The sequence below is a fragment of the Homo sapiens genome, chromosome 11 (assembly GCF_000001405.40).
Source record: "Homo sapiens chromosome 11, GRCh38.p14 Primary Assembly".
Taxonomy (NCBI): Eukaryota; Metazoa; Chordata; class Mammalia; order Primates; family Hominidae; genus Homo; species Homo sapiens.
Window position 1 is genome coordinate 13,746,085 of NC_000011.10, and position 24,227 is coordinate 13,770,311.

General features: G+C 41.6%; 1 pseudogene, besides 1 other annotated feature; it reads left to right on the forward strand.

Moving 5' to 3' along the window:
• On the forward strand, positions 9,936-11,680 carry CENPUP1 (centromere protein U pseudogene 1; annotated as a pseudogene).
• Positions 15,120-16,319: an enhancer, noted in NCBI's record as "CDK7 strongly-dependent group 2 enhancer chr11:13782751-13783950 (GRCh37/hg19 assembly coordinates)". NCBI's record gives its function as "activates an origin of replication core promoter dependent on BRD2, BRD4, P300/CBP, MED14 and CDK7 cofactors, with strong dependence on CDK7, by STARR-seq in HCT116 cells {active_cell/tissue: HCT116}" and the evidence as "EXISTENCE:reporter gene assay evidence [ECO:0000049][PMID:35650434]".

Sequence of the window (24,227 nt, forward strand, 5' to 3'; positions counted from 1 at the left end):
CAAGCTGCAATGGCTAAGCCTTGATACCCTACCTCTCTCAGGCGCCAGATAAAGACTGATGACTTTGAGCTTGGCAAATCTGCAGGTGAGGTAGACCTGGAAGGAGCTGACATTGAAGGCTGTCTGCTGGCTACATCTCCTGCAGTTAGGCAGCAAGCCCTTCTTCAAAGAGGAGTGCAGTGGTACATCTCTATTCCTACCACACAAGAAACGGTTGCAATGGAAATGCAAATTTAAGACAGATCTTCTCGCTGACCTTTCCAACCTGCTTACCACTCCTAAGAGCCTCCTATTTAGAAAGTCTGGAGCCAACTGGACTCATCTTTTGAAACACCAGGAGGCAGTGAGGACTAGACTTATCACGGAGCCTCACTGAGAGGCAGTCAGAGCAGGGGTCACATGGCAGGCTCCAGCAGTGGTCAGTGTATGCATCCGCACATCTACCCATCTGTCCATCTTTCCATGTGTCTGTCCACAAATGGACCCTGTGTCAGGTTCTTGGTCAGGGGCTGATGAGATAACTGTGGCTCCAACACCTTCTCTATCTTCAAGGAACTCATAGTGACGGTGACATCGCCCGGAGCACAGCAACCCTCAGACAGGTGACTGCACCCTCAGCAAGAGGGCTTCAGCTAGTCAGATATTCACATAGCCTCTGAGCCCAGAAGCCAGTGTCAGGCATTGAGAAGTCACTCCATGGGAGAAAGTACTAGTCATGAAGCCACAGGCAGGGCTGGGCAGGCAGTAACTGCCAAAGTAAGAGTCTAGGCCTGGTCTCAGGAGGCATGGGTGGGCACAGAAGAGCTAGGCCTTGGGCTCCATGGGAATCTTGCTGGTCCCAAAGCCTGAGGTGTCTGGGCACAGGATGCAGCTGAGCTTTGAGGAACTGGGGAAGCTGCAGTAAATCCAGAAATGAGGGGTGACAATGATGTAGGGAAGATGTAGGAGTGGAATGAGGTCAGGGGCACCAGCAGTGGGTGTCTGTGACAGGTGGGAGGGCCACAGACTCAGAAAGCTTACGCTTTCACAAGACACTTTTCTTTTGGAGAAAAGTGAAAGGAAAAAGGGGATCAGCATGAACTCTCAGGTTGTTTTCTGCTGGGGCAAATTCTCTTGCACACAGGCAGTAGGGAAAGAAAACTAAAACCAAAGCACAACTTGTCTGAACAGCCCTGGTGGGGCTGCTTTGCCCACTCCCCATGGTGGCCATTTTGTGCCTTCTCCACTCTCCACAAGTTCATAATCAGTCCAGATTCTTTCTCTCAAATAACAGAGAACATCGGTCATGAAACCCCTCTAACTTATAGACTCTGACCTACACCCTCCTGGGTCTCAGCCACATCCCTTCTCCTTCAAAGCCAGGCTCCCACCTGTGCTAATGTGCCCTTTTCCCCCTGACCATTCCAGGACATCTACCTATCAATTATTCCTTCTAGCCTTTTGCTGTCCACTTCCTTCCCTTTACCCTGGCAGCCTACTCAGATATACTCCGTGGAGAGACAGGCACTCCCTGTACTGGCTCCTCCTCACACGAATGCCTCGTTGTTCTCTCCTTCCACCTCTAAACTTCAAAGAGTTGTCTATCCTTTCTCTCTCAACTCCCTCCCTTGCCACCCACACTTCAGCACATTGCAATCTGGCTAGGCACATCTGATGCAGTCAGATGCAATCAGGACTTGCTAAAAATTAAGTCCTGATTGTATCTGACCTCTCGGCACCATTTGGTACTTTTGACCAATTCATTTCCTTGAATTTCTCCCTTCCTTTGACTGTACCTATCACAATGATATCCCAATCTACTTTGTTGACTTTTTATTTTTATTTTTTGACCTCTCTTTACATATCAATGTCCCACAAAGCTCTGCCCTCAGCACTCTTCTGTCCTTTAGATGCTCTCCGGCAATAACCCATCCACAAACAAAATTTCCCCTCTGATGATCCCAAATCTATATCCTCAGCTCAGACACCTCTCCTGAGCTTCAGATGCATACTTCCACAGGTCTACCTGTCAACTCCCAAAAGGTATCATAGACATCTTCAGAAAGGAACTTCCCATCTTCTAATTCTCCCTTCTACTATGTTATCTCCCTTAGTCACTGGCTTCAATACATGTGGTTATTTAAGCCATAATCCTGAGAGCTGTCCTTCTCCTCTCTGCTTATCAACCTGCCCCAATCCTCATCCTTCTCCTCCTCCTGCTTCTCCTCTTCCTCTTCTTCCTTTTCCTCCTCCTGCTCTCCTTAACCACTGCTCAGCCCTGTTCCTTATAACCTCTTACCCCAATCTTTCCAACAGCCTGCCTGGTAGGTCCACTCCTCCTCTTTGACATTGTTCAAATTTATTCTAGGTGACCAGAAGAATCTTTCTAAAGTGCACAGTTAATCATCCTCTCCTCTGCTAAACACCTTCAATGGCCTCCCTGCTGCCTGAAAGTACAATCTCCTCAATGTCATCTATAAAACCATCTTTCATTTGGCTTCTGTTGACTCCTCCAACTTCGCCTCTCCTTCCCTGCCCTGCATTTTACACACCAGCAACACCAAGCTGATGCCTCTACAACTTTGCTTATGCTGTTCCTCCTGTCTGGAATGCCCTATCTGTATGTCATCCCTTCAACTTTTCCTATTAATTGCTTAAGGCTAATTTAGATGCCCCTCCTCCAAGATATACTTGTCTGGTTTACATGCCCTTTTCCTGTCTTGCAACTAGTTACCTTTTGTCACTGCTACATTGTAGTTACATATGCACAAGAGTGTCCTAGTTGAGCCCAAACTGGGAGTCAGAACTGGTGGAACAGTCACCCTCTTGGACTCTATTTATATGACCTGATATGCATGACAGTATGTACTGTCATGGATAATATATAGTACTATAATTGCTTAAATTATAAGCAATTATAATTTAATTGGGATGGAAGACTGAGAGAAGAGGGAGATAGGATATTTTTGGGGGGTGTATATTTTCTGCCAAGCCCCTTGAAATGTTTGTGAGTCCTGATGGAGAGGTGAGTTAAAGATGTTGTGAGACTCTGGGCTCAAGCAGAAAGGGAACAGCCATTTCTGGGTGTGTGGATGCTCCCTTATGCAGATGTGACAACAGAGGACATTGACAAGGGAGAACCAGGGCAAGCTGGAGGGTGGGGCCAAGTGTTGGTTAAAACTGATGGATTGGTTCATAATTCTATGCCAAATATTCCTTGGGAACTTCAAGAAGTATTTGAGAGATGGCGAACTGGAGTCAGGACTAGATTGCAGCTCTAACTTGGATGGACGGAGCAGTGTGAGGAGGCTTGCATCATGAATTTTTGCTCCAGAATGACTGCAGGAATAAATCAGGAAATCTGAGAGGTCCCACAGACCCCCTAAAGGAAGCGGGTTGCTCCTGCAGGACCTGGGAGACACCTCAAATACTGTACTGGTATCTACAGCTGAGAGACCCACAGATGGTTCATGTCACAGGACTCCATGCAGACAACCCCCAATAACATCAAGGGTTAGACCCAGAAGAGAGATAACAATCATTACAGCTCAGCTCCCAGGAAGCCACATCCATAAAAAAAGGGGGGAGAATACTACATCAAGGGAACATCCCATGGGACAAAAGAATCTGAACAACAGCCTTCAGCCCTAGATCTTCCCATCTGGCCTACCCAAATGAGAAGGAACCAGAAAACCAACCCTGGTAATATGACAAAACCATGTTCTTTAACACATCCTCAAAATCACACTAGCTCACCAGCAATGGACCCAAACCAAGAAGAAACCCCAGATTTACCTGAAAAAGAATTCAGGAGGTTAGTTATTAAGCTAATCAGGGAGGCACCAGAGAAAGGTGAAGCTCAATGTAAGGAAATCCAAAAAATCATACAAGAAGTGAAGGTAGAAATATTCAAGGAAATAGATAACATAAATAATTAATCAAAACTTCAGGAAAGAATGGACACACTTAAGAAATGTAAAACCCTCTGGAAAGTTGCAACAACATAATTGAAAAAGTAGAAGAAAGAAATTCAGAGCTGGAATTCAAGGTCTTCAAATTAACCCAATCCAACAAAGACAAAGGAAAAGGAATAAGAAAATATGAACAAAGCCTATAAGAAGTCTGGGATTATGTTAAACAACCAAACCTAGGAATAATCAGATTATGTTAAACAACCAAACCTAAGAGAAATCTAAAAGTTTGGAAAACATTTTGGAGAATAATTGAGGAAAACTTCCCTGGCCTTGCTAGAGACCTAGACATCCAAACACAAGAAGCACAAAGAACACCTGGAAAATTCATAGCAAAAAGAGCATCGCCTAGGCACATTGTCATCAGGTTATCTGAAGTTAAGAATCTTTTTTCTTTTTTTTTTTTTTTTGAGACAAAGTCTCACTCTTTCACCTAAGCTAGAGTGCAATGGCATGATCTCAGCTCACTACAACCTCTGCCTCCCAGGTTCAAGTGATTCTCCTGCCTGAGTAGCTGGGACTAAAGGCATGTACCACCATGCCCAGCTAATTTTTATATTTTTAGTAGAGATGGGGTTTCACCATGTTGGCCAGGCTGGTCTCGAACTCCTGACCTCTTGATCCACCTACCTCGGCCTCCCAAAGTGCTGGGATTACAGGCATGAGCCACCGCACCTGGCCTGAAAGAAAAAATCTTAAGAGCTGTGAGACAAAAGCAACAGGTAACCTATAAAGGAAAACCTATCAGATTAACAGCAGATTTCTCAGCACAAACCCTACAGGCTAGAAGGAATTGGGGCCCTATCTTAAGCCTCCTCAAACAAAACAACTATCAGCCAAGAATTTTGTATCCAGTGAAACTAAGCTTCATATATGAAGGAAAGAGACAGTCTTTTTCAGACAAACACTGAGAGAATTTGCCCCTATCAAGCCACTACTACAACTGGTAAAAGGAGCTCTAAATCTTGAAATAAATCCGGAAAATATATCAAAACAGAACCTCTTTAAAGCATAAATCTCACAGGACCTATAAAACAAAAATACAATTTAAAAAACAGAAACAAAAAAACAAGTATATAGGCAACAAATAGCATGATGAATGGAGTGGTACCTCACATCTCAATACTAACATCGAATGTAAATGGCCTAAATGCTCCACTTATAAGATACAGAATTGTGGAATGGATAAAAATTCACCAACCAACTATCTGCTGCCTTCAAGAGACTCACCTAACATATAAGGACTCATGCAAACCCAAGGTAAAGGGTATAAAAAGACATTTCATGCAAATAGACACCAAAAGCAAGCAGGAGTGGCTATTCTTATATCAGACAAAACAAACTTTAAAGCAGCAGCAGTTAAAAGGCAAAGAGGGACATTATATAATGATAAAAGGCCTTGTCCAACAGGAAAATATCACAATCCTAAACATATATGCACCTAACACTGGAGCTCCCAAATTTATCAAACAATTACTAATAGACCTAAGAAATGAGATAGACAGCAATACAATAATAGTAGGGGGCTTCAATACTCTACTGACAGCACTAGATAGGTCATCAAGACAGAATATCAACAAAGAAACAATGGATTTAAACTATATGCTGGAACAAATGAACTTAACAGGTATATACAGAATATCCCATCCAACAACTGCAGAATATACATTCTATTTAACAGCACATGGAAATTCTCCAAGATAGACCATATGGTAGGCCACAAAATGAGCCTCAATAAATTTATGAAAATCGAAATTATATCAAGCACTCTCTCAGACCACAGTGGAATAAACCTGGAAGTCAACTCCAAAAGCAACCTCCAAAAGCATGCAAATAAATGGAAATTAAATAACCTGCTCCTGAATGAGTATTGGGTCACAAACAAAATCAAGATGAAAATTTAACAATTCTTTGAACTGAACAACAATAGTGACACAACCTATCAAAACCTCCAAGACACAGCAAAGGCAGCGCTAAGAGAAAAGTTCATAGCCCTAAACACCTACATCAAAAAGTCTGAAAGAGGCCAGGCACCACCGTGGCTCACGTCTGTAATCCCAGCACTTTGGGAGGCCAAGGCGGGTGGATCACAAGGTCAGGAGATCACAACCATCCTGGCTAACATGCTGAAACCCCATCTCTACTAAAAAATAACAAAAAAATTAGCTGGGTGTGGTAGCGGGTGCCTGTAGTCCCAGCTACTTGGGAGGCTGAGGCAGGAGAATGGTGTGGACCCAGGAGGCAGAGCTTGTAGTGAGTGGAGATCGAGCCACTGCACTCCAGCCTGGGCAATTGAGTGAGACCCTGTATCAAAAAAAAAAAAAAAAAAAAAAGTCTGAAAGAGCACAAATAGACAATCTAAGATCACACCTCAAAGAACTAGAGAAACAAGAACAAACCAAACCCAAACCCAGCAGAAGAAAGGAAATAACCAAGATCAGAGCAGAACTAAATGAAATTGAAACAAAACACATACAAAAGATAAATGAGACAAAAAGCTGGTTCTTTGAAAAGATAAGTAAAATTGATAAACCATTAGCAAGATTAACCAAGAAAAGAAGAGAGAAAATCCAAATAAGCTCAATAAGAAAAGTAAAAGGTGATATTACAACTGATACCACCGAAATACAAAAGATTATTCAAGGCTACCATGAACACCTTTACACTCATAAACCAGAAAACCTAGAAGACATGGATAAATTCTTGGAAAGATATTTCCAGGACTCTCCTCCTCCTAGCTTAAACCAGGAAGAATTAGATACTCTGAACTGACCAACAACAAGCAGTGATATTGAAATGGTAATTAAAAAATTATCAACAAAAAAAGCCCAGGACCATACAGATTCACAGCAGAATTCTACCAGACATTCAAAGAAGAATTGGTACCAATCCTATTGACACTATTTCACAAGATAGAGAAAGAATGAACCCTCCCTAAATCATTCTATGAAGCCAATATCACCCTAATACCAAAACCAGGAAAGGACATAACCACAAAAGAAAACTACAGACCAATATCCTTGGTGAACATAGATGCTAAAATCCTTAATAAAATACTAGCTAACTGAATCCAACAACATACCAAAAAGATAATTCACCATGATCAAGTAGGTTTCATACCAGGGATGGTGGGATGGTTTAACATACATAAGGCAATAAATGTGATATACCACATAAACAGAATTAAAAACAAAAATCACATGACATCTCAATAGATACAGAAAAAGCATTCCACAAAATACAGCATCACTTTGTGATTAAAACTATCAGCAAAATTGGCATACAAGGGACATATCTCAATATAATAAAAGCCATCTATGACAAACCCACGGCCAACATAATACTGAATGGGGAAAAGTTGAAAGCATTCCCTCTGAGACTTGGACCAAGACAAGGATGCCCACTGTCACCACTCCTCAACATAGTACTGGAAATTCTAGCCAGAGCAATCAGATAAAAGAAAGAAATACAGGGCATCCAAATCGGTAAAGAGGAAGTCAAACTGTTGCTGTTTGCTGATGATATGGTCGTTTACCGAGAAAACCCTAAAGACTCCTCCAGAAAGTTCCTAGAACTGATAAAATAATTCAGCAAAGTTTCCCAATAATATATTATCTGGAAAAATACAAATTAATAATACAAATGGTGTACAAACTAATGTACGCAAACCAGTAGCTCTTCTATAGACCAACAGTGACCAAGCTGAGAATCAAATCAAGAACTCAACCCCTTTACAATCGCTGCAAAAAAATAAAATACTTAGGAATATACCTAACCAATGAGGTGAAAGACCTCTACAAGGAAAACTACAAAACACTGCTGAAAGAAATCATAGATGACACAAACAAATAGAAACACATCCCATGCTCATGAATGGGTAGAATCAATATTGTGAAAATGACCAGACTGTCAAAAGCAATCTACAAATTCAACATAATTCCCATCAAAATACCACCATCATTCTTCACAGAATTAGAAAAAAAAATCCTAAAATTCATATGGAACCAAAGAAAAGCCTGCATAGCCAAAGCAAGACTAAGCAAAAAGCACAAATCCGGAGGCATCACATTACTGATTTCAAACTATACTATAAGGCCATAGTCACCAAAACAACATGGTACTGGTATAAAAATAAGCACATAGACCAATGGAACAGAATAGAGAAACCCAGAAATAAACCCAAATACTTACAGCCAACTGATCTTAGACAAAGCAAACAAAAACATAAAGTTGGGGAAGAACACCCTTTTCAACAAACGGCGCTGGGATAATTGGTTAGCCACATGTAGGAGAATGAAACGGGATCCTCATCTCTCACCTTATACAAAAATCAATTCAAGATGGATTAAAGACTTAAATCTAAGACCTGAAACTGTAAAAATTCTAGAAAATAACATTGGAAAAGCCCTTCTAGACATTGACTTAGGCAAGGATTTCATGACCAAGAACCCAAAAGCAAATGTAATAAAAACAAAGATAAATTGCTGGGACTTAATTAAACTAAAGAGCTTTTTCACAGCAAAAGGAACAGTCAGCAGAGTAAACAGATGACCCAAAGAGTGGGAGAAAATCTTCACAATCTATACATCCGACAAAGGACTAATATCCAGAATCTACAACGAACTCAAATCAGTAAGAAAAAAACAATTCCATCAAAAAGTGGGCTAAGGACATGAATAGACAATTCTCAAAAGAAGATATACAAATGGCCAACAAACATGAAGAAGTGCTCAACATCACTAATGATCAGGGGAATGCAAATCAAAACCACAATGTGATACCACCTTACTCCTGCAAGAATGGCCATAATAAAAAAAAAATTTAAAAAAACGGTAGATATTGGCATGGATGCAGTGAACAGGAAACACTTCTACACTGCTGGTGGGAATGTAAACTAGTACAGCCACTATGGAAAACAGTGTGGAGATTCCTTAAAGAACTAGAAGTAGAACTACCATTTGTCCAGCAATCCCACTACTGGTTATTTACTCAGAGGAAAAGAAGTCATTTTACGAAAAAGATACTTGCACATGCATGTTTATAGCAACACAATTCACAACTGAAAAAACGTGGAACCAGCCCATCAATCAACAAGCAGATAAAGAAACTGTGGTATATATATATACACCATGGAATACTACTTAGCCATAAAAAGGAATGAATTAATGGCATTTGCAGAGACCTGGATCAGATTGGAGACTATTATTCTAAGTGAAGTAAATCAGGAATGGAAAACCAAACATTGTATGTTCTCACTCATAAGTGGGAGCTAAGCTATGAGGATGCAAAGGCATAAAAATGACACAATAGACTTTGGGGACTCAGGGGGAAAGGGTAGGAAGGGGGTGAGGGATAAAAGACTACAAATAGGAGGCAGTGTATACTGCTTGGGTGATGGGTGCACCAAAATCTCACAAATCACCACTAAAGAACTTACTCATGTAACCAAACACCACCTGCTCCCCAATAACCTATGGAAATAAAAAATGTTTTAAAAAAGAAGTATTTGAGAGACACATTGCTGGGAATTAAATGGTTCTGAGGGGGTTATTTGAATTAATGGACTCCTGTTTATATTCATAGGCTGATGAGGACTGGGGACATTGAGTTTGTTATTTTCAGTCTTTCCACAACTGCACCGCAAACTTTGAGGACTGGAACTATTCTCATACTTTTGTTGTTGTTGCTACCTGGAGCAGTGTCTGCACCTTGCAGATGTTGGATGGATGGATGGATGGATGGATGGATGGATGGATGGATGGATGCATGGATGGATACATGGATGGATGGATAGACAGATAAAAAGGCTATTCTGTTGATTCCTTGCCTTGCCTTGCATCCAAGGGATCTGGGGAGGCCACAGAGCACTGCATGGGTCAGTCCCAACAGCAATTAGTCTCTCTTGTTTCTTTATGCATGATAATAGCCCTCTGAAAGTGATTTGGCCCTCACCCAGGAAGGTGAAAAGAAAAATAACCACTGGTGGGTGGGTGCAGCCTCCCGGGCCTGTGGGTACAAGATATTCAAAGAACACTTTAGAAAGAACACATTCCATGAAAAGTAAAGCTGCTCAAAAGTACATGTCTATTGATATGTTCAATTTTCCTGATAATTCTGATATCTCAAGCATTGGCAGTCTAGATGAAAATGAGAAAGATGAAGAACCTTAGGAAGGCTTTCATCCTCCTTTACACAACACAGCTATATATGCTGATGAAGAATTATTCTCCTGACATTGTGGATTATCTATCTCTTCAAATCCCCCAGGAAACAAAGCAAAAAGAAGTTCAGACACTTCTGAAAATAAAGCAAGTGAAAACAAATCTGCAAAAATTAGTGCAAAAGGCCGGGCACAGTGGCTCACACCTGTAATCCCGGCACTTTGCAAGGCTGAGGCGGGTGGATCATGAGGTCAGGAGTTCAAGACCAGCCTGGCCAACATAGTGAAACCCCGTCTCTACTAAAAATACAAAAAATAGCCAGGCATGATGGTAGGCTTCTGTAATCCCAGCTACTTGGGAAACTGAGGCAGGAGAATCGCTTGAACCTAAGAGGCAGACGTTGCAGTGAGCTGAGATCACACCATTGCACTCCAGCCCAGGCAATGGTGCATGACTCCATCTCAAAAAAAAAAACAACAAAACAACAACAACAAAAAAAAACAGTGCAAAAAAAGCCAGGAAGAAAACACAAGCCCATTCATAATGACTGGGAAAGTACTGAAGAAAGTGATGTAAGAAGAAAAGCTAAATCAGCAGACAAAATGGGTACACAATGACACGAGGCTATTCCTCCAACTACAGCATCTTCAGAACTTTCAGAGAAACCAGCTGAGTTGATCACTTCTAAAAAGATAGGACCTCTTAGTGCCCAGCCCTCTGTTGATAAAGAGATCTTGGCAACAGAAATTTAATTGAAAACTCAGAAAAAAGGAAAGATGTCTTATGACAAAAGGAAGAAATCAAGAAGTAAAGCCATTGACTCAGATACTTCCAACATTGTGCATATTTGGTGTCTATAAGAAAACCAGTAACATCATGGAGTTGAATATTGTTTTGCCCACAGTTGAGAAAATCCTCCTAGAGTATAAACAAAGAATAGAATCTAAAATTTGTAAGAAAGCCATCAACACATTTTATTTTAACATTAAAAAGAACCCATCAAAAAGTTTAAAGAAGTCCAGATGTTGAAAAACTTGAAAAGGAAGAATGCTAAGATGATTTCAGATATTGAAAAGGCAACGTTTGATTGAAGTTTAGGATGAACTGCTTCCATTAGAGCCACAGCTGAAACAACTACAAACAAAATGTGATAAACTTAAGGAGAGAAAGTCTTCCCTTAGGAATGCAGCATATTTCTTATCTAATTTAAAATGGCTTTATCAAGATTATCAGATGTTCAGGAGAAAGAAGCAAACATAAAGGAAACGTATAATTCAACCAGCCTTCCAGCTCTGTTATCTTAACAATTTTGGGAGCTGAAAATCACCTGCAAAATATCAACCATCAATTAGAGAAGCTCCTTGACCAGAAAGAAGAAGCGCAGCCTACTAAAATGTGCCTATAGAAATGTTAGTTTCATGCTACTGTTACCTTCTGAAACTATACTTTTATAAATAATTTTTTTTGCAAAGAAGTATGGCCTAGTTATCAGAACCTAATATTTGTCATTCAAATTAAATGACTGTGAACAATGTTAAATGGCATCCGTTTTTCAAATAGTTTTAAAGGCCATGATCATCTTTTCTGGCTAATATCTTGAGTAATAAATTTTAAACTGTTGACATCATATCTTAATCAGCCCCAGATACAAGAGTTTTAATAAACATAAAATTATCTTGATGTGAACATAAACTAATTTTGATTAAGAAGGAGATTTCTACTGAATTTAAGTACACCAAAGCTAATTTTCGGTAAAACTGGTTTATAGAAGTAAAAAACAAAAATTGGAAAACAAAGTGATAAAACTTAGTTTATGTAAACAGGTTTAATGACAATATATTTGTTATCAAATCTCACAGACATCAGGCAAATTATAGCCTGGTGACATAAGTGTCCATAGTGAATTAGGTACTTGTATAGTACTTCCGTGATTAGTTTATCAGGAATTTCATCCATTTCACTGTTATAACTGAGAAGACTGTTCTCTGCAGCTTCAGCTAATTCGACATCTTCAGTAGCTTCTAAAATATAAGCATCTTCAATGCCATTATCCCAGTCAGTGTCAGCAGAAGCATCTGTTGACACCTTACTAGTTGATGGTTTATGAGGATTCTGGGTTTCATTGCTCTTAATTTCATCTGCTTCAACCCCCTCATCATTCATGTCCAAATGCCCATACCTTTTCCCAAATGGGCCATGTGTATTTTGCACTTGCTTATTCCTCTTCCGGTAACCTCCTCTACTCTTCTCAACCAAGTGAAGATGTCCTTCATAAAACTCCAGCTCAAGTGTCACATCTCAGGGAGTTCCTCCTGTTCCCACAGCCTCCCAAGGGCTCCCACAGTGGCCATCTTCCCTCTGATCTAGCTGCGATCTCCTCTATTGGATGGGTTGTTTGGGGGTCAATTTCCTTTGTTACACTTGTCAAAAGACAACATTACCACAAATGTATAGATCTAATTGGCTTTTATTCGTGATTGAATTGGGGCAGCCTCCATTCAACAAGATAGAATAAGAGTTCCCACTGGGCAATGGCAGAAGAGTGGGTTTTGTGAGGTGGGGATGAAGAAACAGAATCAAAGAGGAGAAAAGCTGATCGGTTTACATCAGGTTACTTCAGGCTACCTTTTTGTAAGGATTAAAGCAGAGGGGACTTTCTTATTTTGCTGATTTGGGTAGACTGGAATCTCCTGTTTTCAGGAAAAAAAAAAAAAAAAAGAAAGGTCTGTTTTGGGAGCTGTTGCTTCCTTAAAGTTTCAGTTTTATTATGTGGCATTTACTACGAGTGACTCCACTTTGATTTGGTCTGGTCTGTTGGGCCTAGTGCAGGAGCTCAGTCCAAAACAACAGCCTGGATCATTTTTGTTTAACACACTGCAGCTCCTGAAGAGCTGGACCGTGCCTTACAAGTCTTTTTGTATTCCGCACAGTGTCTAGCAGCAAAAAGTGCTTCACCCGGGAGTCCTCAGGGAACTAACTTGTTTTCCTGAACAAGGTGGGACTGCACTTCAGGGGACCTAGCGGGACCCCAGCGTGGCTTTCACTGCCACGTGGCGGCAGACCCATTGTGCAGGTTTTCATGCAAATGAAAAAGCTGCTGGGCCCCAGGCTAGCCAGCCAGAGCAGCTGAGCTAAGGTCCAGTTACCGCCAGGAGCCAGGATGTTACAGTGGCCACCATGATTATTAGTACTGGGACAACCGCTGTCTATGCAACTATTTACACTTTAAAGAGCTTTGATTTCCCTCAAACCACCCTCAATCTTGTGAAGTCAGTGGAACAGCAATTATTATTCTTATTTTACAGATGGGTAAACGGGTGAATAATACCAGTAACAACATCATCTACCACCACAAAAATAACAACAACCTCTCCTCCTCTTCTTCCACCTCCAGTCTCTCCCTTATCCTAACGATTGCATGCTTAATGTGTGCCAGGCAGCAGGCTAAGGGATTTACAAATATCGTATAACAGACTTTTGAGTTTTTTCCAGGCCTTAAAGCCAAGTGCCCATACATTTCAAGGCAGTGCCTATAGAAATATAATGTAAGCCATGTATGTAGTTTAAAATTTTCTAGTAGCCACATCTTATTTTAAAAAGAGATGAAATCAATTTTGAGATATTTTGTTATTCCAATATGTCAAAGATATTATTTCAACAACTAATGAATATAAAAAATATTAATAAGATATTTTACATTATTTTATTTATACAAAGTCTTTGAAAGCTGTTGTGTCTGTTACACTTAGTACAATCCCAGTTTGGATCAGCCATACTTCGAAAGCTCATTAGCCATATTTATGTAGCCAGTGGCTGCCATATTGGATGGTACAGTTCTAAAGAAAGGAATTTGGCCATCTAGGCAGGCCTTGCCAACTGGAAATCTCCAACATGATTATGAGCCTTATCCCACCATTCTGACCATTTGTGAGAGAAAGTAGGGGCTGGAGAAAGAGAGCTGGGGAGTGAGGATTTCTTTGAGAAGAGTTGTTGGAGTGCTGTGTGATTTCCTTCCCCTGCCCATAGAGGAGAGGAGGGTAGTGCCCTTCCTCCGATTTCAGACAAGTAAGGGAGGCTTCATGAGTTTATACAGTACAGAAGCTGATGCCTGACTCATGCCTGGAGAATCCAAGAGGTGAACCTGGCTGGAGATGACTCTGATGTCAGAATAAGGAGAGAGGACTACAGAGTGAATTAGGTGGATTGTGCTGATAGCCGGGCAAGGGCCATGCCCTCCATGGGACATTAATCAGCTTGAGGGATCCAACCCAGGGACCTCATGCCACTACAGAGAAGCTTCCTGGAACGTATCAAAGGATCAGGGGCTTCAGGATGGGAGCAGTTGCATCACTCACAGCTGTGGATGGTATAGTAAGGGAGCCCCGGGTAGTGGGTCTCTGAGAAACCCACGAAAAGTATTCCATGAAAGAAAGAGCTAGTACTTTGGCATATGCTACCTACAGGGATCTAAAGCTGGATTACAATATTATGTATGGAAGGCCTTGCTCTTTTCTTCAAATCTTGTTTCTCCCTGCATGTGACCCAAGAGAAGGCCTAAAATCACAGTTTGAGCAAGGGGAAAGCAATGGAGCAAGGAAGGGACAACACTGACCACGGCCCTCCTTTCCTTCTGTGGCTTCTCCAGTAGTGCAGATGTTATATGAGGGCTGGGGCAGGCAAGCACTGAAATTCCTAGAGAAGGATCCGAGACTATGTGGCCTCAGCTGGGCCTTACCCTGTTGTTTGACAAGGCTTTCATTTACTTTGGTGACAATCATTTATCTCATGAACATTTACTGAGCACTCAACAATGGTAGCTGCTGTTATTACTATTCTAGCCTTTATTTGGGTTAAAATGTATTTTAATAAATTTTAATGGCACTATGAGGTTAATATTGGAAGAGGTATAATACAGGTAGATTAATTAGACATCTCTGTTGTGAACAAAAGAAATCTAACTCAAGCTAGCAAAAGTGAAAAAGTTAATAGAGTGGCTCATATAACTGAGAAATTTAGAGGGGATTAACATCAGTAAGTTTGATCCAGGAACTCAGACAATATTATTAGAATTATTTTTCTTCAATAGATATTTTTTTCCTTACTTCTCTTCGTGTGAGGATCATGAACTCTCTTATCATAAATGGCTTCTCCTGCTGAGCTGGGGAAGATGGCTGTCCATTGCTCCAGACTTGCATCTTTCCAATACTGTAACCCATGGGCAAGATAACACATTTCTGGCTAGTGGCTGCAGGAATGTTGGCCTGACTCATTCCAGTGTCCACCCTTTGGAGTTGGGGATCAGAAGAAGATGCGGTATGGCAATTGACCACATCTGAAACACAAGGATTGGGGGTAAGTTCCCTGGAAAATATGAAGGTGCTATTGCCAGAGGTGAGATGGAGGTGCAGGCTGAAGTAGTGAAACTCCATTGTCCACCACCTACTCCAGGGAATGAATGCAATGTGCCATTGGATCACAAATGAGGCTGTGACCAATATTGCTTTCTTATTTAGCACCTTTTAGTTATAGTACAATAATAAAAACAATAATAAATTTTATTTTTGATTTCTATAAGTCGGTACTTTACTTTCTATAGCAGCTTTATATCACATCAATGGCATGTGCTTTGTTCAATCAGATATGTGTATCTGGCATGAATTTCTTCACTTTTTCCTCAAGGAATTCCTGACATTCCTTGTCAAATACCTCACTTGCGTCCAGATACATTTAGAATATTTGATTTCCATAACAGTCTTCAGCTGGAAATTTTCTATTGGCCCCTGCAGACCTGCTTTCCACCCTGTCCACACTGCTCTGTGCCCCAGGAGCTGACTGCATGGATTACATCAATGGCTTTTTGGCCCTCTGGTTGGATTTTCAGTTGAGTTTGGTCAATGGAGACAAAGGAGATTGGAAGGAAAGAGAAGGATGAGTTTGGAATTTGGGATATCTCCAAATTCCCTTAATGCAGGGTCACTTCTGGCTGGGCAAGTGTCTCTGCATTTAGTCCCTCTGTTTACACGCTGCTAGTTCCAGGGTTCAGGATGCCCCCACCCCTTCATGCTCAGAGGTAGCAACATCCCCACTGTTACTAGCCCAGGATTCTGTACTACTCCTTGTAATTTTTGTACATCGTGTTCATCTTTGTATATAGTCCCTTTATACAACTTTCTTTTAATGTCATCCTAATTTGAGTACGCCATCTGTTACCTGCCAAGACCCTGCCATAAAACCTGTCTGGAAAGCAAATGAAAATTAGTTGGCTGTGATTGCCCTTGGTGAACTGCACTGATTACTTATAATTGTTGCTTTCTTTTCTACAGGCCCACAGACCTTTCTTTTTACCTATTCCATCTAGATTCTTGTAGAGAGCAAAAGTCAAGCTTAGCAGCCTGTAGTTTCTGGAACATCCTTAAAAAAATACCTGTGTTTGCTGGTCTCAGTTCTTCAAGATCCTCTATTCTCTAAAGTGCCCTAGACATTTGGCCATTTCACCCTGTTAGTGTTTCTCAGTCAGAATAACCAAGGTTATGCTGTGATAGCAAACAATCTCCGATACTCAATGGCTTAAAACAAAAACAGGTTTCTTTCTCATTGCTGCTATGTATCTATCATGCATTAGGAGGGAGCTCTGCTCACAGAAAACACCCAGGGACCCAAAATGATAGCACTGACACAATTCAAATGGTGCTGATTGCTGTGCCGCCAGAGGAAAAGAGAGCACTGGAAGGTCTTGAATAGACAATTAAATGCTTGGCCTGAAAGTGACACCAAACGTGTCACATGGCTTCATTCCGTAACAGGGGGCTATGAAGGTAGTCTACTGAGTGCCTGTCTCTTTGTGGGGAATGTAGTTATTTCAGGAATATCTCTTACCTTTCCAATCAGGTTATAAGCTCTTTGGAGGGCAAGGATTTTTTTGGTACTGCTTTCTCTTAGCTTATGTCAGCATGCAAATCATGTGATCACCCACTTGAGGGGCAGCTTGTCCAACTATGATTTTTAAAAGTGAATGACATATGAAAGCAGGAAAGCGTGCTACACGTTATGCTGTTTAGCCAGCAGTTGCTAAGGTTTTGTTGTGTTTGTGTGTTTTATGTCATAGTAAATACTAGTTTTTCTTATAGTAAAATCTCATACAAGAGGTAAAAACTATAATACAAAAACAAAAATGTATTTTGTAGATGCACTGGTTGTACTATCAAGTTTATTTTGAAATAAATATACAATTTTTTTTGGAATCAACACAATGCCTAGCACATATTAGGCTAAATATTTGTTGAATGGATGAGTAAATATCATTATCTCTGCTTATTCTCTTAGCCTCATATATCAGCTTTTTCTTATGTTGCCAGGCAACAGAGAATGTATGTTGATTTTATGGTTAGTACAATATGGAGGAGCTGAACTATGTGCAAGATGATGCCAATAAGTGAAGTAAAGAGGGTTCTTATTGAAATACGAAACAGTAGAATCCGGACCAGAAGGGCCTTTTATTATAAAGGGGGTTAAGCAGGAGGCAGAAAGCCACGTAAGCCACACTTACTATTTGTTGGCCTTTGCTAGCCTTACCTATGTCACTTCAAGTCCCCTGGCTTCCTCAGCCTGAGAGTATAAAATATGATTGAATTAACATTGAATCTCACATCATGAGAGCTATGAGTCCCACCTGCTCACAGAGGAGTTTCAGGTGCTCTCATAGTGACCCCCAGTTATTTCTGCCTACCTGCGCTCAGGTGTGAGTCCATTCATGCTTTTCCACTCCTGCCTGCACACTGCTGCCTGGAAGCCATCCTGTCCCTGCTGATGGTGCCCTTGGTTTATTGTACTGCTCTGTCAGGTGCAGCTGTCTGTCTTCTGTTGGTGGCCCCCTAAGCCTTCAGTGGGGGTCTGGTGTGGTGTGAACACCCTCTCCTCAACTCTGAGTCACACTGGGTCACCTGGCTCTTAAAGCAGCAGCACAGATGCGTTCGTGAACAGAGTATCCTCAGCCTCTGACTCCATGCCCCGACCTTCCCCATCCTCTGCCCCACTCCCCAGCCAAGCTAACTCTATTCCCCTCTATTCCCCGTCACCTCTGGCACACCCTACCCCAACTCTCCACCCCTAGCCCTGGTTGGGGATGGCACAAAATGAGTCCCTCAAACTAGACCAGGGATCTATCAGCCTTTTCTTCTTCCCACCTTGGTTCTCATCGTCCCCTTTGCCCCACCAAGGGCCTCTCTACCCCATCCACACTCTCACTAACTCTCAGGATTCTTAACTCCAGCCAATGGATCCTTGGGCAGTGTTAGCTAATTTTACTTGCTAAGGAGCAGCCACAGACCCAGCCAAGAATCCTGTGCACTTTCAATATTCCATTTAGCCCTGCAAATTAGGCAGTTGTTATACCAAGAGGTCACTAACATTGCTCATGGTCAAACAAGTAGTGGGTGGTAGAGGATTTAAACCCTTGCCTGCCTTTGCCTTTTCCCCTAACAGCACATACTGCTACTGCAGAGCCACTCCTGACCCTATTAAGATAAAAATCAAATAGAGAAATTTGCTACTTCAAGTCAAGACTCTTTAGAACCCTCCCTTCCCAAATCCAGTCCTCTCTGTGTATTCCTTATCTCAGTAAATGGCACCACCACCCACCCAGCTTGCTCACGCTGGAAATCTAGGAATTATTCTCCATCCTGCTTTTCCCTCACCCCTCAGAAAGTCCTATCAGTGTTACTTACAAAATGCAGCTCAGATCCATCCACCACATTGCCACTGCCCCCATCCAAGTCTTAACCAGTGTTCTCCCTCTCTGATCTACTCTTAGTGATCTCCTTACTGGTCTCCTTGCCTTCAGGATGGGCCCCTTCCACTTAGTTCCCTGTAAACACCCCCTCTCTGTTAGGTTTCAAACACCATGCCAGCCTCCCTTGTGTTTGTTGATCACATTTCCAAATATTCTTGAGTGTTTTTTCCCCACCCCACCCACCCTGTGCTCTGTAACTTCCTTTATACTGGATCAGGAAGGCTTCTTCCCTGCTGGGTTGGAGCAGCTAGACAGACATCCCCCACTGTGGAAGTAGAAGAAAAGCCTGCAGATATTCAACTGGAAGCAAGCAAGCAAGAAAATGTTGCTAGTCTAAGCACAAGACAGAATATTCCAGTGTAAACTTGCAGAGTGAGTGTTTTTTTTTTCTTTCTCTTCAAGAGATTAGTTAAAAAGAGGCCAAGTCCTGCCCTGGGGAGAAGACAAGGCAGGGACAGATGGAAAACTCATCAGGCCCTGTGGACATGCCCCCTTTCTGTTGCCCAGCATGCTCAGTTACCCCTCAGAATGTGACGTGGTGGCAGGGGGTTTGGTACCTTGACAGGTGCAGGGGGGCGAGAAGGGGAACTATTTCCCAGTCAACAGGGGCTTGAGTAGAACAAATTTGTAATTTCCCTTGAGTTGGAACAGGAGTCAAACAGCTCTATCACATTTGTGAGACTAATGTCTGTCTCCCCAGCTAGACACTGTGCTCCATGAGGACAGGACTGGGGTCTGATTTTGCTGTTTGTGTGATTCAACAGTATCAGATACATTGTAGACACTTGACACATATCTCTTGCATGAATAAATTGTAAATATATACACACACACATAAGTATATGTATATAAACATACATGTAACATATGTGTATGTGTTTATATGTATGTGTGTATATCTTGAGTTGTAAAAGATTGAGGCTTTTGTTTGGTTAATGTCCACTCTTAAAGAAAAAATTCAACGATTCTTATTAAAGCATGGTAGGGAAGATTTTATTCAGGACATAGGTACAGGAATTGCTGCAGTGGGGAAGACAGATTGGGCTCAACTCCAATTACAGCATGGAGTGGGAATTTATAGCCAAGGAGCAGGTTGGGGGTCAGTGGATGGAAAATTACTAAAAGAAGAAACATTGGGGCTAAGGAGGATTCTGATGTAACTGGCTAAACCGATCTAACAAGATTATTGCTGAAGATAGGCCAGTGTAATCAGACATCACCTGGGAGATAGTGGAGGATGAGGAATCTGGTCAGATATCCAAGGTGTTAGATATGATTCGGGGATGTTCTTGCTAAACTGACTTAGCAGGGCTCTTTGCTAAAATGAGATTTTACAATGAAGTACACAGGTAGGCCTAGGAGAAGATTCAGAAGCCTGACTAAAGTTTGGCCAAGCAAAGAATCTTTGTCACCACTTTGCTTTTCAAATTTAACATTTCTCAGCAAAATTTAATAAAGAGCAGAAAGGACTAAAAAAGGTAGTGAATTCTACAAATCTTTATGTGCTATTATTATATGACTATATGAAGTCCTTGTTTTTTTTTTTTTTTTTAATCCTGGCTAAGCAATAATTGTCTATAGAGCTGATCCACTGAGGTTTCATCAGAATCTTTTTGGGGAGTGGGTATGATGTAAAAGTATCATTGCTTTGATTTAATTTTTAGCCAAAATAGTTTGACTATTTCAAATTACCTTAGAAGGCTGGGCGCAGTGGTTCATGCCTGTAATCCCGGCACTTTAGAAGGTCAAGGTGAGCAGATCATTTGAGTCCAGAAGTTTGAGACCAGCCTGGCTAACATGGTGAAACCCTGGCTCTACTAAAAATATAAAAACTAGCCTAGTGTGATGGCAGGCGCCTGTAGTCTCAGCTACTGGGGAGGCTAAGGCATAAGAATTGCTTGATCCTGGGAGGTGGAGGTTGCAGTGAGCCGAGATTGCACCATTGCACTCCACCCTGGGTGACAGAGTGAGACTCTATCTCAAAATAAAAATAAAACTAAATTTACCTTAGAAGAAGAAGATATGGGATTTTTATGTTTAACAAAAGAGGACAGAGGGTAAAAATGATTGAAAAATTCTGTTCTTAAGTGAGGAAACCAGTGAGCACCACAAAAAAAGGGCTTGTCTTTTTTTTTTTTTTTTTTTTTTGATAGGGTATCACTCTATCTCCCAGGCTGGAGTGCAGTGGCATGATCACAGCTCACTGCAGCCCTCTACATCCCGGCCCCAAGGAATCGCAATCCTCCTACCTCAGCCTCCCAAGTAGCTGGGACCACAGGTGTGCATTACCATGCCTGGCTAAGTTTTCAAATTTTTCACAGAGATGAGATCTCACTTTGTTGCCCAGGCTGAAAATCTGAATTAGATTTTCAAACTGGTTTCAAACTCCTGGGCTCAAGTGATCCTCCCACCTCATCCTCCCAAAGTGCTGGGATTACAGGCATGAACCACTGTGCCTGGCCATTTTGGGCTTGCCTTGTATATGTTTTTACTATTTAAAAAAATCTCTGGTTGGTCAGGGGGCCAATTCTTTCTAATATAAATAAAGAAGCTTTTTGAAGGGAGGTAACTCTCTCTTTCCTCTGTGTAGATCAGGATTACATTGTGGCAGCCAGGATGGCCTAGAGTACACAGCTTTGATGCTGGCAGAACAAAGATAGATTATGGCCAGTGAAATGTGGCACCACCTGATAACAGAGTGTGGAGAGAGGGTTGACTTAGAGCAGATGAAAGGGGAGGGTGTAGAATACAGTGGAATACAGCAACAATTGTTCAGAAGCTGCAGGAAAGAGACAGTAGAGGAAAGCAGAAAGTTGTTATGATGAAAATGAATCTGCTATGGTTATTTAAGTGGCAGAGACGTCACATCCCAAAACAAATAGATGTGGTTAGGCCCTTTATCTTCCACCATTAGTGAGACAGCAGATCTGCCATTGTGTGTGTGCCTGTGTGTGTCTGCACCTGTGCACCCACGCATGGCCTTCCCACCTAATGATTGTGCAGAGCCCCAGGGGCTTATGGATCTTTCCAAAAGAAGTCTCCTTACAGGTAGGTACAGCTCCTTGGTAGTACTTGCCTGTGTCCTGTTGGATCCATTCAGAAGCAGTTGAGCCCATGCCTGTTACAGCAGCCAAGAATACAGATCTTTGCCAAGATTCCTAAGCCTGGTGCCCAGTGTCCTTAACCATCTATTTGTATAACTGCCTGATGGGTTCATCCTGCCTGCTGCACAAATAAAGATTAGAGCATTGCAGTAAAGAAAGAGTTTAACTGACGTGAGGCCAGCCACGTGATGCAGGAGACACAGACTAATCAATCTCATTGAAGGCTCCTAGGTCAGTAGTTTTTTAAAGGCTGTCTGGGGGAAGGGGTGGGAATGGCCAGGTAATGGGTGCTTGCTGCTGATTGATTAGGGTGGAGATGAAATCAAGGGGGTTGAAGCTGTATTCTTGAGCTGAGTTGCTTCTGGGTGGGGCCACAGGAGTGGGGTTAGAAGGTCCAGGTGGAGCCATGGATGTCAGACATGCAAAAAACATGAAAATCTCCTCAAAAGGCCAATCTACAATAGTGATGTTATCCACAGGATGTATCTTGTGACCAGTCTACGCTTCAGCAGTATTTGGGTTCCTCTCCTTCCCCTAGCCTGATGGCCTTTCATTAGCTTTACAAGAGCAGTTGAGTTTTGGGGCCTATTATCATTTAAACTATAAACTAAATGTCTCCCAAAGTTAGCTTAGCCTAAGCCCAGGAATGATTAAGAGAAAGGCAAGTTGTGTGTGTGTGTTCTGGATGGGTGGGGTGGGGGTTATATCAGATCTTTTTTAACTGCTGTAATTTTCTCACCATTACAATTTTTGCAAAGGTGGTTTCATTTGTAGTCTCTAGTAGTTGCTCAGCATCCATGTCCTCTCTTGGTCCTCAGTTGTAGTATTCCAATTCCCCCCATTTCAGGGAAGACACATGTGACTGGCCAGTTAGAGTATTGTATCTTATGACTTTAGTGGTTGGCTTAGTAATTGACATATACTCTACTGAGAAGCCAATTAGATTTTTCGGGGTGGAGTCTGAGACAGCTGCTGGGGGCCATTTCATGGCTCCTGACAATGAAACCAACAGAGGGAAACACAATGTTGAAAGATGGATAGAATTCGTTTTCATGGTATCTTTTTGGATCACTGGATCAACCTATACCTGAAGGTTAGTTACTCTTCGACTTTCCAGTAATGTAAACCAAAAAATTACCCAACTCCTTTTGTCTTTCTTCTTCCTTAAGCCTGTTTGGCTGTGTTTTCTGTCACATGCAATACAAAGAATCCTAACAGATAATGAGTCCTGCCCCACTGGAGGACTTTGTGTGAGGCAAAGGTCATGGACATTGATGAATCCAGCATCTCTCCCCTATTGTTCAAGTCTCAAAGAATGTAATTCTTTTCTGAGTGTTTTCCCTCTTTGTCAACTCTTGGAATACTTTCCACTCGGGAACAATCCAGCTCTATAGGTTCTATGTGGCTAGGCCTTTGAAAACAAAAGCCTGTTAATTCTCCCATAAGGCAAAGGTCACTTAGGTCTCTAAGACACAAATGTTTGACTGTTCTTCCAGTAATGGGGGAGGGAAATTTCACCTTTTTATTCGCCTACAGCTGCGGGAGGAAGCTAGAATACATATCTCAATAAATTACCTGTTAATTAACTTTAAAGATGGGGAGCTAAGGCCTCCATGTCTTGATAATAGAGTACCTGACCATTGACTCAGCTTCAGACACACCAGAAACATCATAAGACTAGGACAGCAGAGCAAGACAGAAGGAACCTGGCTCAGCCCTCCCTCATCAGAGAACACTTGCCAGCTGCCGACCGAAAAGGTGTGTGGCCAGAGTTAAACTCACAGGGCAGATTGCAAACTTAAATGCTTCCACCTCCAGGTAGCTAAGAGTGAAGGAGGCTGGAGGGGCATAGGGCATAGTGGGGACTATTGCAGACAGGAGAGGCTGCTTCAATAAAGGGGCAGCTGTTACTTCACACAAACTACTGCTGCCATGTGGAAAAACAAGTCCAGTGTGGCTCCAGTTTAAGGAAAGCCCTAAAATGTGCGAATTCTAAATGTTGGCAACTAATTTTAACAATAAAAACAAAAACAAAAAAAATGGTACTATTGAGCTAAACAAAACACACAAGAAGGCCAGGTCAGCTTGAAGACTTTAAACCTCTGCTAGATAGTACATAATTATTTCTATACTTCCATAGTAAATCTGCTTATAAATTCATGGTGTGTTGAGATACTATTCTTTTAAGTTCAAGATAAATAGTCTCCTTCAGATAGCATATTCA